The 13,618-nt window shown below is 39.9% G+C and overlaps 1 protein-coding gene across 2 annotated transcripts in view, besides 2 other annotated features; it reads left to right on the forward strand.

The window, feature by feature from the left end:
- CNTNAP2 (contactin associated protein 2) overlaps window positions 1-13,618 on the forward strand; it is a 2,304,198-nt gene that overhangs the window by 1,481,218 nt on the left and 809,362 nt on the right. The gene's annotated exons all lie outside the window — the stretch shown is intronic.
- Window positions 8,921-9,474: an enhancer, noted in NCBI's record as "OCT4-NANOG hESC enhancer chr7:147304031-147304584 (GRCh37/hg19 assembly coordinates)". NCBI's record gives its function as "activates a minimal SCP1, AML or CMV promoter by ChIP-STARR-seq in naive and primed H9 embryonic stem cells {active_cell/tissue: H9 hESC(naive and primed)}" and the evidence as "EXISTENCE:reporter gene assay evidence [ECO:0000049][PMID:30033119]".
- Window positions 9,475-10,027: an enhancer, noted in NCBI's record as "OCT4-NANOG hESC enhancer chr7:147304585-147305137 (GRCh37/hg19 assembly coordinates)". NCBI's record gives its function as "activates a minimal SCP1, AML or CMV promoter by ChIP-STARR-seq in naive and primed H9 embryonic stem cells {active_cell/tissue: H9 hESC(naive and primed)}" and the evidence as "EXISTENCE:reporter gene assay evidence [ECO:0000049][PMID:30033119]".

Below are 13,618 nucleotides of genomic sequence, written 5' to 3' on the forward strand. Positions count from 1 at the left end.
GGAAGGAGCAGTTCTAAGATCATTAATGGTTTCAGCATAGAAAAACAAAAGTCCAGAGACCTGCCAAACCCCTGTGGGGTAATTGTGGTTCTGTAAGAACTTGGCCTCTGAGTTCGGCATTGCCTGTAATTACAGCCTTTCTTTCTTTCTTTTTTTTTTTTTCTACTTTAAGTTCTGGAATACATGTGCAGAACGTGCAGGTTTGCTACATAGGTATACATGTGCCATGGTGGTTTGTTGTACCTATCAACTCGTCATCTAGGTTTTAAATCCCGCATGTATTAGGTATTTGTCCTAATGCTGTCTCTCCCCTTGCCCCCGACCCCGCAACAGGCCCTGGTGTGTGATGTTCCCTTCCCTGTGTCCATGTGTTCTCATTGTTCAACTCCCACTTACGAGTGAGAACATACAGTGTTTGGTTTTCTGTTCCTGTGTTAGTTTGCTGAGAATGATGGTTTCCAGCTTCATCCATGTCCCTGCAAAGGACATGAACTCATTCTTTTTTATGGCTGCATAGTATTCTATGGTGAAATTACAGCCTTTCTATTCAGCATCCTCATTTGTAAGCCTCTGAAATGTCTGAGATTATGATTATCAGTGCATAAGCCCTACACTGTGAGCTTACTAAGAATATTTTCTTATGTCTGCTATCATTGGGTGATATGGTTTGGCTGTGTCCCCACCCAAATCTCATCTTGAATTGTAGTTCCCATAATCTCCACATGTCATGGGAGGTACCTAGTGGGAGTTAATTGAATCATGGGGGCGGTTACCCTCATGCTATTCTTGTGATAGTGAGTGAGTTCTCATGAGAGCTGATGGTTTTATAAGGGGCTTTTCCCCCTTTGCTTGGCACTGCTCCCTCCTGCCACCATGTGGAGAAGGACATGTTTGCTTCCCCTTCTGTGATGATTATAAGTTTCCTGAGGCCTCCCCAGCCATGCTGAACTGTGAGTCAGTTAAACCTCTTTCCTTATAAATTACCCAGACTCAGGTAAGTCTTCATTAGCAGCTCGAGAATGAACTAATACATTGGGCTAAAATAAACTGTCCCAATATATAAGGACCACGTTGTAAAAACTTCTCCACTGCTTCCGTCTTTTGCCTAGAACATAGAACAGGGGTTAAACGCTTCCATGGTGTGTAAAGTTGAGTGATAGATTAAAATGTACCATTGGTCAAGAGCAGTAGCTCACACCTGTAATCCTAGCAGTTTGGGAGGCCAAGGTGGGTCAATCCTCTGAGATCAGGAGTTCGTGACCAGCGTGACCAACATGGAGAAACCCTGTCTCTACTAAAAAAATAAAATAAAAATTAAAAAAAAAAATTAGCCGGCATGGTGTAATCCCAGCTACTCGGGAGGCTGAGGCAGGAGAATCACTTTAACCCAGGAGGTGGAGGTTGCGGTAAGCCAAGATGGCACCATTGCACTCCAGCCTGGGCAACGAGTGAAACTCTGTCTCAAAAAAAAAAAAAAAAAAAAAAAATACCATGAACTAGGTGACAAAATAACAGAAATTTATCCTCTCATAGTTCTGGGGAGCCAGAATTCTGAAATAATGATGTCCACAGGGCCATGCTCTTTCTGAAGTTTCTGGGGAAAAAAATCTTTCCTTGCCTCTTCCAGCTTCTGGTGGTTGCAATCCTTGAGTTCTTTGGCATGTCACTGCATCCCTCCCGTCTCTGTCTTGTCATCACATGGTATTCTCCATGTGTGTGTCCATGTTCAGATCCCCTTTTCCTATGAGGATACCAGTCATTGGATTAAGGCTCATTCTTACTCTAACATGTTATCTTAATTTGATTACATCTGCAAAGACGCTATTTCCAAATAAGATCACATTCACAGTTTCCAGGTGGACATGATTTGGGGATGATACTATTCAATGCAGTGTATGAGGGTTCACTTGTATTCAGTTATATCAGGTAATACCATTAAGTGTTTCTTAAGCTTTTAATATTTGAAAACAACCTTATTCACAATAATTGATAAAATAACTACATTTCAGAATTTAAATATACCTGAACAAGAAATGACAAATGGTTGTCAAGTACTTTTATGCTTAGAATACCATGCTTTCCTCATGCAGGAAATTGGAACAGACCCTGGTCATGGGCGTGTTAAATCCTCCTCTTTCATCCACCACTGATCTGTCTCATAACTTGATCACTCCTATGGAACTGACTGTCATTTCTCAGTTTCATTCTAGGAGGCTTAAAAGTTCTACAGAGCAAAAGTATTTTTCTTCCTCTTTTTGCTTTTTTGCTTGTTACTTTTGTTGAGGGGTCAGCAAATGTCCTCTGAAGAGCCAGATGGTAAATAATATTAGTAACATTAGGCTTTGTGGGCCTCACGGTCTCTACCACAACTATTCAACTCTGCCTTTGTAGTGCAATGGCAGCCAGAGATAACCTGTAAACAAATCAGCATGCCCAAGTTCCAATAAAACTTTATGGACACTGACATGTGCATTTTATATAATTTTCATGTATTGTGAAATATTATTCTTCCTTTGATTTCCCATCCATTTAAACCTGTGAAAAGCATTCTTAGCTGGAAGACTGGGCCAAGAAGAGGTGGGCCAGAATTTGTTTTCTGATTTCTGCCAAGTCTTGTTCCCTCTCTCTTGTTGGTTGTCTGCCTTTGCTCCACCTTTTCTGGCATAGAGGACATTCTGCAGGGTACTGTGTTTCATATCCTTTTTTTCCTTTCCCTTCTCCTCCTGCCTTTGACCTTCCCTTTCCTTTTCTTCCTTCCCCCTCCTACTACTATGTCCCTAAAATAAATATTCACTACCCCTAAACTATATTTGATCATTGCACATTGATTACTGTAATCATTTCCTATTTTCTAAAAATTTGATGAGTGTGATGTAGGTCATGGTGATAACATGAGGGTAGTCATTCTCTTATTTAGAGGTAGAAATTAGATTTAAATTTCTGGCATAATATAAGTATGAATTGTAATAATCCCCTGAACATTATTAGAAATGTAGATTTTTTCTCTTCTGAGTGATCAGCCTCCAAACATATCCAAAATTGGAGAGAGCACTGTAAAAGTCCTGTGTCCCCGTTACTCAGCCTCAACAGGTTTCCATTCACAGCCAATGTTGTTTTATTTGTACCTCTGTCTCCTCCCTCCTGTGAAATTATTTTGAAGCAAATTCCAGACATCAGTATTTTCACTGGCGTCCCTGTGAAGAGACCACCAAACAGGCTTTGTGTGAGCAGCAAGGCTGTTTATTTCACCCGGGTGCAGGCGGGCTGAGTCTGAAAAGAGCCAGCAAAGGGAGATGGGGTGGGGCCGTTTTATAGGATTTGGGTAGGTAGTGGAAAATTACAGTCAAAGGGGGTTGTTCTCTGGCGGGCAGGGGTGGGGGACACAAGGTGCTCAGTGGGGGAGCTTTTGAGCCAGGATGAGCTAGGAGAAGGAATTTCACAAGGTAATGTCATCAGTTAAGGAATGAACAGGCCATTTTCACGTCTTTTGTGATTCTTCAGTTACTTCAGGCCATCTGGATGTATACGTGCAGGTCACAGGTGATATGATGGCTTAGCTTGGGCTCAGAGGCCTGACAAGTATATTTTAGTATGTATCTCTTAAAGACATTGACTCTTAAAAAAAAATATATATATATATATATATATATATATATACACACCATCATAGTAACATATCTAGAAACAATTAATACAAATTTCTTAATGTCTTTAAATATCCAGTGTTTACATTTCCCTAATTGTCCTGTAATTTTTTTATGTACAATCGGATTGAATTGTAACCTACAAACTGATTAGTTGATCTACTTCTTAAGTCTCTTAATTTTTAGATTCAATCTTTTTCTGTCTCTCTTTCTTTCTCTGTTTCTCTTCCCCCTATTTTAAGTTTATTTGTAAAAGAAAGTAAGTCTTCCGCCTGTGGTGTTTCCTACAGTCTTGTTAACTGATATCTTCCCAGTGGTATGGTCTAGAGATTTGAGGAAATTTATGTTGTATTTGTTTGTTAATAATATTTTATAATTGTTGCAGTATCCTTCCATCAAGAGGTCCAAATGTCTACTTGTCGTTCTTTTGTGGTGTTAGCAGCCATGGATGACCATTAGTGTAATTATTAGCAGTTGCAAAATCATGATGTTCTTCATACAGTTGGGGTATTTATCCCTTAAAAAAAAATGCTACCTGTTGAACTAGATGATTATCCTGCATTTTTATAGGAATTATAGGACAAGTGTTTATTTTTTTCTTTAATAAGATTTCAAAATAAATTTGTTTTCTAGTATTCTCCAAAGGCAATCAATGAAACCTAATGTTTGTTTATTAGGCATTATGTACTTCAGTCTATTTTTTTTTTTTTTTTACTTTAAGAACATATTTTATTTAACCCAATATATCCAAAATATTACCACATCAATGGGCAATTAATATAAAAGTTTATTAATGGGATATTTTACATTCATCAGTTCATCCTACATCTTTTTTTTTTTTAATACTTTAAGTTTTAGGGTACATGTGCATAATGTGCAGGTTAGTTACATATGTATACATGTGCCATGCTGGTGTGCTGCACCCATTAACTCGTCATTTAACATTAGGTATATCTCCTAATGCTATCCCTCCCCACTCCCCCCACCCCACAACAGGCCCCAGAGTGTGATGTTCCCCTTCCTGTGTCCATGTATTCTCATTGTTCAATTCCCACCTATGAGTGAGAATGCGCAGTGCTTGGTTTTTTGTCTTTGTGATAGTTTACTGAGAATGATGATTTCCAATTTCATCCATGCCCCTACAAAGGACATGAACTCATCATTTTTTATGGCTGCATAGTATTCCATGGTGTATATGTGCCACATTTTCTTAATCCAGTCTATCATTGTTGGACATTTGGGTTGGTTCCAAGTCTTTGCTATTGTGAATAGTGCTGCAATAAACGTACATGTGCATGTATGTAGCAGCATGATTTATAGTCCTTTGGGTATATACCCAGTAATGGGATGGCAGGGTCAAATGGTATTTCTAGTTCTAGATCCCTGAGGAATCGCCACACTGACTTCCACAATGGTTGAACTAGTTTACAGTCCCACCAACAGTGTAAAAGTGTTTCTATTTCTCCACATCCTCTCCAGCACCTGTTGTTTCCTGACTTTTTAATGATTGCCATTCTAACTGGTGTGAGATGGTATCTCACTGTGGTTTTGATTTGCATTTCTCTGATGGCCAGTGATGATGAGCATTTTTTCATGTGTTTTTTGGCTGCATAAATGTCTTCTTTTGAGAAGTGTCTGTTTATATCCTTTGCCCACTTGTTGATGGGGTTGTTTGTTTTTTTCTTGTAAATTTGTTTGAGTTCAGCAAAGTCTCAGGATACAAAATCAATGTACAAAAATCACAAGCATTCTTATACACCAATAACAGACAAACAGAGAGCCAAATCATGAGTGAACTCCCATTCACAATTGCTTCAAAGAGAATAAAATACCTGGGAATCCAACTTACAAGGGAAGTGAAGGACCTCTTCAAGGAGAACTACAAACCACTGCTCAATGAAATAAAAGAAGATACAAACAAATGGAAGAACATTCCATGCTCATGGGTAGGAAGAATCAATATCGTGAAAATGGCCATACTGCCCAAGCTAATTTATAGATTCAATGCCATCCCCATCAAGCTACCAATGACTTTCTTCACAGAATTGGAAAAAACTACTTTAAAGTTCATATGGAACCAAAAAAGAGCCCACATCACCAAGTCAATCCTAAGCCAAAAGAACAAAGCTGGAGGCATCATGCTACCTGACTTCAAACTATACTACAAGGCTACAGTAACCAAAACAGCATGGTACTGGTACTAAAACAGAGATATAGATCAATGGAACAGAACAGAGCCCTCAGAAATAACGCCGCATATCTACAACTATCTGATCTTTGACAAACCTGAGAAAAACAAGCAATGGGGAAAGGATTCCCTATTTAATAAATGGTGCTGGGAAAACTGGCTAGCCATATGTAGGAAGCTGAAATTGGATCCCTTCCTTACACCTTATACAAAAATTAATTCAAGATGGATTAAAGACTTAAACGTTAGACCTAAAAACCATAAAAACCCTAGAAGAAAACCTAGGCATTACCATTCAGGACATAGGCGTGGGCAAGGACTTCATGTCTAAAACACCAAAAGCAATGGCAACAAAAGCCAAAATTGACAAATGGGATCTAATTAAACTAAAGAGCTTCTGCACAGCAAAAGAAACTACCATGAGAGTGAACAGGCAACCTACAAAATGGGAGAAAATTTTCACAACCTACTCATCTGACAAAGGGCTAATATCCAGAATCTACAAAGAACTCAAACAAATTTACAAGAAAAAAACAGTCTATTGCAATTGTTACTCTTATTCATGATCACATTGTCCCATGTTCAGCCAGTGGGTGTACCTTCCAGTTGGTTTTTAAATATTTATGACATGACCTTCGTTGTCTGCTGTTTCTTCCTTTGGGATAAAACAGGTTGTTCTCAGCTAATCTCTTGCCCCACATCTGGAGCCTGCTACTTCTCTGCCCCACCCACTTTGCTTCTCTGCTCTTCATTTGGAATAGGAAGCATAATTCATTTACCTCTGTGGAAACTCTGTTGTTTTAGAAGGGGAGATGCCACTCTAGCAGTACTATCAGAGGGTAAATAATGGAACCAACCAATCCAGCAACTCTGGCACTTCTGAAATTTAGACAAGGGGGTCATGTTGTGTACTTGGAATGCACCTGCATTATGTTGTGGAGAGCAACACAGGCAAACTCTGAAAACCACCCTCATGTGTGGCTCACTCTGAGGCCTTCAATAATGTGTTCTTTGGAATTCAGATCTGCTCACTGCACATAGGTTGCAATAGACATCATATTATTCCCATAATAGTCTTCAATAAATGCTTCTGAAACAAATATCAATGAATAAATGACATTTTCAGCTTTTAGAGATGAAAATGACCTAGCCCATTTTGTCTGATACTCCATTTTTACCTCAGGAAACTAAGGCCTTGATATTTCAAGTGATTTGTCCAAGTTCATAGTGCAAAGTAGCAGATTTAATCCCCAAATCATCTGACCTCAAGTGCATCGTTTCCTACTATACCTACTGCCTCTAGACTGTATTAGATCATTTAGCATTAATTATTTTGATCATTGTCCATTTCTTTTTTTTCCTTCCTTCTATAGGGATGAAAAAACTTTCTACCCTCTGAATTTTTGATAATTGAGCCTATGAAATCAACTGACAGTAGACACATTAACATGAAACAGAAATTTTAATTACTGCAAATGCATGGAGTCCCACAAAATATGGGACTGGAAAATGTGTTCGATGACTGAAGCTTATATAACATCCTGAGCTACAGAAAGGAATAGGGGCCTGAGGCTTCTAAGGGTGGTGGTGACACAAATTATGTGAGGTGAGGAAAGGAAATGCATGTCGAGCAAAGGTTACCTTGTCATGCAGATAAAGTCTCTCTGGTAATAAAAGTTGTCTTCAAGCAGCCCTCAGAAGAATAGGTGCGAGTCTGAGTCACAATCTGGGCATGGTGTCCGCCCTTCTTGTGATATAAATCCATCTTCCCTAGTTGATGAGATTCCCAGAGAGACAATTCATGACAAATGTGTTTCTTTCAGAGGACCTGCCCTTCATTAGAAAGGGAAAGTTCAGAAAAAGGTTCTCCCTGCGCTTTTGGGGGAGAAAGAGGGGCAAGAAACGGAACAGAAGAGCAGAGAGAACTTGGTTCTCCTTCAGTTCAAGGCACTCAGGATATCAAAGCATCATATTTTGGGGTATTGTTTTGTGGACCCCAGCACCTCCTTTATTTCTCTTTCTCTCTGTCCCTCTTCCCTTCTCTCTCTCTCTCTTTCTCTCTCTCTGTGTGTGTGTGTGTTTGTGTGTCTCTTCTTTCTAATGTAAATAACATGAGCCTCCTGTGATTGTTGTTCCCATAATAGTGAGTAGCAAGTCTAACAACGGTTCAGGTAACCCCCAGGCAAGCAAACCAAAAAAAACAGCCTGTTCACCGTTCACTAAGCTGTTCGTACAGTACATCCCTATGCCCATTTCCAAGTCTTAGATGACTTTTTCTAGCACAATTCAAAAAGTACTTTATTTCACAATAATAATAATAGAAACTCAGAAGCTTTACTTTCTCACTTACCTAAGTAAGGGTGGTAATGTTTTAGGCTACAGAAATAATCATCACTTACCATAAATGAATCACCTTAGTGTTGCCAGCATACTGAAAAAGCAAATGACAAACAAGATAATTTTGATAGTCACTTTATTGCCTTCCTGTGAAGTGCTAAGGAACGGATTTATTTTCTTGAACGTTTCCCCTTGGAGGATCTGCTGAAATCTTTTTAATTCCGAAATCAGAGATTTGCTAGCTTAGCATTTGGCAAAAATGATGATTTATCCTATTTAAGCATTAAACTATCTATGTCTATTTGGGTTTCAGGTGACCAGATGGCTGAGCAGGGCACCTTTACATCTTTTATTCTTAATTTTATTTCATTAACTCAGCAAGTATTTATTGACCACTAGAGTACCAATACCAGATAACCTGTAAGGGAATAAGGATTAAACAGTGAAAATGGCACCCATAGGGACCTTAACAGAGTAGTGGCTACAACAAATATGTTACAGAGACACTGTGATAAATGCAAACACAGACATAAACATAGGTTGTTAGGGAAGCATACGGAAATGGACAGCTGATCTGCGCTTGGCCTTGCATTGCGGTTTTGGGAAGTGATTGGTATTTTCTGACAAGTGCTTTGAAGCTGAGACCTAAGGGACTAAGCAAAAGCAGAGTGGCAGTGTCCTGCATGGGGGCAGAATTTGCTGGATTTAGAGGCACTTGAATATTTTGATAAGCCTCACAGAGAATTTTTTTTTTAATGAGTGAAATCACCAAATGCATTTGTACTTTTGTTAAAATTAAAGTTGAGAACACCAATTTTAGTCCCTTTGAATATGTTAACTGTGCTATCTTCAAGGTTTTCTTTCTCCAAAAAGCTATTTCTAGCTAATTATCCTCACTAAGGAAAGTGATCTGTCGGACTGTGTTGCTAAGGCTCCTCACAATGGGGGCTGCTGCAGTGACTAGAGACTGAGTCAATGAGGAAAATTAAATACTTCCAGGGACTGATTATTTGGGAATTTTCTTCCAAGGGAAGTTCAGAGAAAGCCCCTCCCTGCCCTTCTGGGAGAAGGGGTCAAGAAACGGGACAGAAGATCAGAGAGACTTTGGTTCACCTTTAGTTCAAGGCACTCAGCATCCCAAGGCACCACACTGTGGGGTATTGTTTTGTGAGGCCCAACATTTCCTTCCTTTCTCTTTCTCTTTCTCTCTGTCTCTCTTCCTTTCTCTCTCTCTCTCTCTCTCTTCTTTCTAATGTAAATAATATCTTTTGTCTCATCAAAGAGTCTTTAATTAAGTCTTTTTCCTGGGTTGGAAGCAATGAGAAAGGGTCACAACCCCGTCAAGGGAAAGTCACATATAACACAGCCCGCAGTGCCCCCAAGGATGTAAATTGCTTGGATGTGTTTAATCTTCCCATGTTTGAAGACACAGACTGTGATGTGAACTAGGGTCAACATGAAAGGCAGCGCCATCTTAGGTGACTTTAGCCTGTTAATAGGGAATCCTCCTGTCCTTTTCAATTGTATATTTTCTGCTGCATCAAAGCTTTTCAGGTAACGGTGTCAGAAAGAGCATAATCTCTCAGGTTAGCCTGGTACAACTTAAGTTTAAACTAACTGCTAACTGAAAATAAAATTCCCCAACAATAATAAAAATTTTACAAAGTTAAACACTAAAGAATTTTTTAAAATATTGCATAAATAATTTGTTGTAGGTTATAAATGTGTTTATTATTTATATGCTGCCTCTCATTATTTAGATGACCCTAGCAGGTGCCTGAAAATGAACGTTTACATTTTTAGGTTGGACCATAATTACTTATTTTGTGTATCTTCTTCCCACTAGCTTTGGTGGCATAAAATTTGTTATTCATCTTCACGTGCTTAAGGCCTAGAACAGTGCTTGGAATAAAGCACATTGTTCAATAAATGGAAGCTCCCATGCTCACGACTCTGCTTGCCCTATAAGGAGACAGTGTGTACACTTACCATAGAATAATTATTATCTTACTGTTCATCTCAGAAAAAAAAAAAAACACAATGGTTTTAAGAAGTACCTTGCACCTTACACATACTTTTATGTTGCTCTGTGAAAAGTCTTTGCAGTTTAGTATCTTATAAATATTGTAAGTAAAGGTCAAATTCCACAGGGGTCTATAATTTCAAATATTACTTTTATTGTTTTACCTGTAAAAATTTTCTAAGTGTTTTTTTTAAACTTACTGTTACAGAGCTATCTGGTAGGATCTATAACCCCATGAACTACATTTTATTATTTATTTTATTTTACTTTTTGGAAAGACAGAGTCTCACCGTGTTTCCCAGGCTGGTCTCAAGCTCCTGGGTTCAAGCAATCCTCCTGCCTCAGCCTCCCAAAGAGCTGGGATAATAGGTATCAGCCACCACACCTGGCCATCAACTACATTTCAAATGGATGTTTTATAGGAATCATCATTGATGATAATGAGAGATATCTGTTGGAAAACAAAATGAAGAAAGGGTTAAGGAGTATTATCAGCACTGTCACGCGTGTCTGTGTGAAGAGACCACCAAACAGGCTTTGTGTGAGCAGCAAGGCTGTTTATTTCACCCGGGTGCAGGCGGGCTGAGTCCGAAAAGAGAGTCAGCAAAGGGAGATAGGGGTGGGGCCGTTTTATAGGATTTGGGTAGGTAGTGGAAAATTACAGTCAAAGGGGGTTGTTCTCTGGCAGGCAGGGGCGGGGGTCAAAAGGTGCTCAGTCGGGGAGCTTCTGAGCCAGGAGAAGGAATTTCACAAGGTAATGGCATCGGTTAAGGCAGGAACCGGCCATTTTCACTTCTTTTGTGATTCTTCAGTTACTTCAGGCCATCTGGATGTATACGTGCAGGTCACAGGTGATATGATGGCTTAGCTTGTGCTCAGAGGCCTGACAGGCATAATATTTATTGAACTTCTGTAGACTAATGGGCACTGTTCTGGGTAGCAGAGATTCATCAATATATAAAATCTGCAAAAGTTAAAACAAACAAACAAACAAACTTCTCTGACATCCTGGAGTTTATTGCCCTTTAAGAAGGTGGTGGGCCGGGCGCGGTGGCTCACGCCTGTAATCCCAGCACTTTGGGAGGCCGAGGTGGGCGGACCACGAGGTCAGGAGATTGAGAGCATCCTGGCTAACATGGTGAAACCCCGTCTCCACTAAAAATACAAAAAATTAGCCAGGCATGGTGGCGGGTGCCTGTAGTCCCAGCTACTCAGGAGGCTGAGGCGGGAGAATGGTGTGAACCTGGGAGGCGGAACTTGCAGTGAGCCAAGATCACACCACTGCACTCCAGCCTGGGTGACAGAGCGAGACTCTGTCTCAATTAATTAATTAATTAATTAATTAAGGTTGTGGGGGAGACAGACAATACAAAATAAACATCACAAAGGAGGAAATTGTTGACTGTCAGAAGGTGATGTGTGCTATAGGAAAAAATAGAGGTGATGTAGGGGTGGGAAGACTTTCCTTTATCCTCTGAGGGTTTGATGAGTGAGTGTACGAAATAATCTGAAGGGAGGCAGATGAACAGGAGAAAAGACACACAAATTTGTTACCTACAGGAGGACATCACTGGAGAGAAACCTGAACACCCAAAAGGCCAGTGAGATTTTGAAGCTTATATACCTTCTTCCCAGGGAAGAAGGTAGAGTGGATATAGTCAAAATTTAGGGGAGAGTAAATAAATTCGGGGAAAGACAAATGGCCCAGAGCATAGGGGATAGTCTGAGTGCAGGGTTCACCTCCAGGCTCCCCTCTTGTTTTTTGTTGTCGTGGTGGTGGTACTGGTGTGAAGGGTGAGGACAATCAGTGTGTTTTTCCCCTCAGAGCAAATTGTAAAGCTAAATTAGTCATTATTTAAATTTACTATAGTTGCCTTTATAAAAACTTTAAATTTACATTATACATGTTGAAATTGAAGCTATGCAATTGTAATATAAACACGGATTTACAACTAAAGCATGTTATAATGTAAATAATTGATTTTCTGTATGAAATCCTAGGCAATATTGTAAAATTGTACAGACCCGTCAACTTTTTCCACTTAAATATTCTGAGTAAAGTTTAAGGGTGTTGTAGTTTTCAAGTGGTTTTTTTTCTTTGTTTGTTTGTTTCTTTTTGTCTCTTGTGATCCAAGTTTTCTTCTCTGGTTGGTGAGATTACTGGGGCAAAGATTTCTTGACAATTGAGTTCCTTTTGAAGGATCCTTCCTAAGGCCGGTAATGGGAGCTCAGAAAAAGCTCCTCACTGCATTTGCTGTTCTCCAGGTGCCCTCAGTTTGAAGCAACCAGCATGCCACAGTGGCACATTTTGGGGTGGTATTTTCTTAGTTCCCTCAAAGGTAAAATGCAGAGTGGGTTATATGTTTAAACAGGACAGTTGGGTGGGCCTCAGTGAGGACGTGCCCTGTGAATAGAGGCCAAACAGAGATGAGAGAGCTAGCCCAGGGGAGTTTTAGGGGAAGCATCTTCTAGTCAGAGGAAACAGCCCAGGCAAACGTCCTAAAACAGGAGCATCTGGCATGTTTGTTTGTTGGTTGGTTTGTTTTGAGATAGAGTCTAGCTCTGTTGCCTGGGCTGGAGTGCAGTGGCATGATCTTGGTTCACTGCAGCCTCTACTTCCTGGGCTCAAGCGATTCTCCCACCTCAGCCTCCCAAGTAGCTAGGATCACAGGTGCACGTCATCATGCCCAGCTAATTTTTTGTATTTTTGGTGGAGACAGAGTTTTGCCGTGTTGCCCAGGCTGGTCTCAAACTCCTGAGCTCAAGTGATCTGCCCACCTCAGCCTCCCAGAGTGCTGGGATTACAAGCATGAGCCACCACGCCTGGCCCATTTAGCATATTTGAACCACAGTTAGGTCAGTGTGGTGTAGTAGATATTAGGAGTGATTTTTTTTTTAATGAAGAGCAAGCAATACGTTATGAAGTATCCTTAAATAACAGGGAGCGTTCTCTTTAAGGTTCCTCAGGAATGGTCAGTCATGGATCCAAGATGACATTTACTTAGCCTCCAAGTTTGAATTCAAGATCAAAATCTAATTACTGTTACAAGCAACAAGAATCAAAGAGTAACATCTCCTTGCTACACAGGTTAGAAGACTCCTTATTGCCACACAGATGAATTCTTGACTAGCAAATGCACATAAACCACATCCCTACCCAGTGTGAGTGAAAAAGGAAAGGGAAGATTAGCTTGTCTAAGTATCGATGTAAATGTAGTCAGTAACTCTAGCTGTATTTTAAAAGGATTTTAACATCTCTACAATGGAATAAAAACATTAACGGATATCCTTCTTCCTAGAAAATGGCTAATGCTTTCCTACAAAAAAAGACACATATGAGCTCCAAATTGTTCTTCATGTGGGTGAGAATGGTCTGTCATTATTTATACTTGTTCACAGTGCTTCATCTGTCATCCATCTTTGGGC

Source organism: Homo sapiens, chromosome 7 (genome assembly GCF_000001405.40).
Source record: "Homo sapiens chromosome 7, GRCh38.p14 Primary Assembly".
Lineage (NCBI taxonomy): Eukaryota > Metazoa > Chordata > Mammalia > Primates > Hominidae > Homo > Homo sapiens.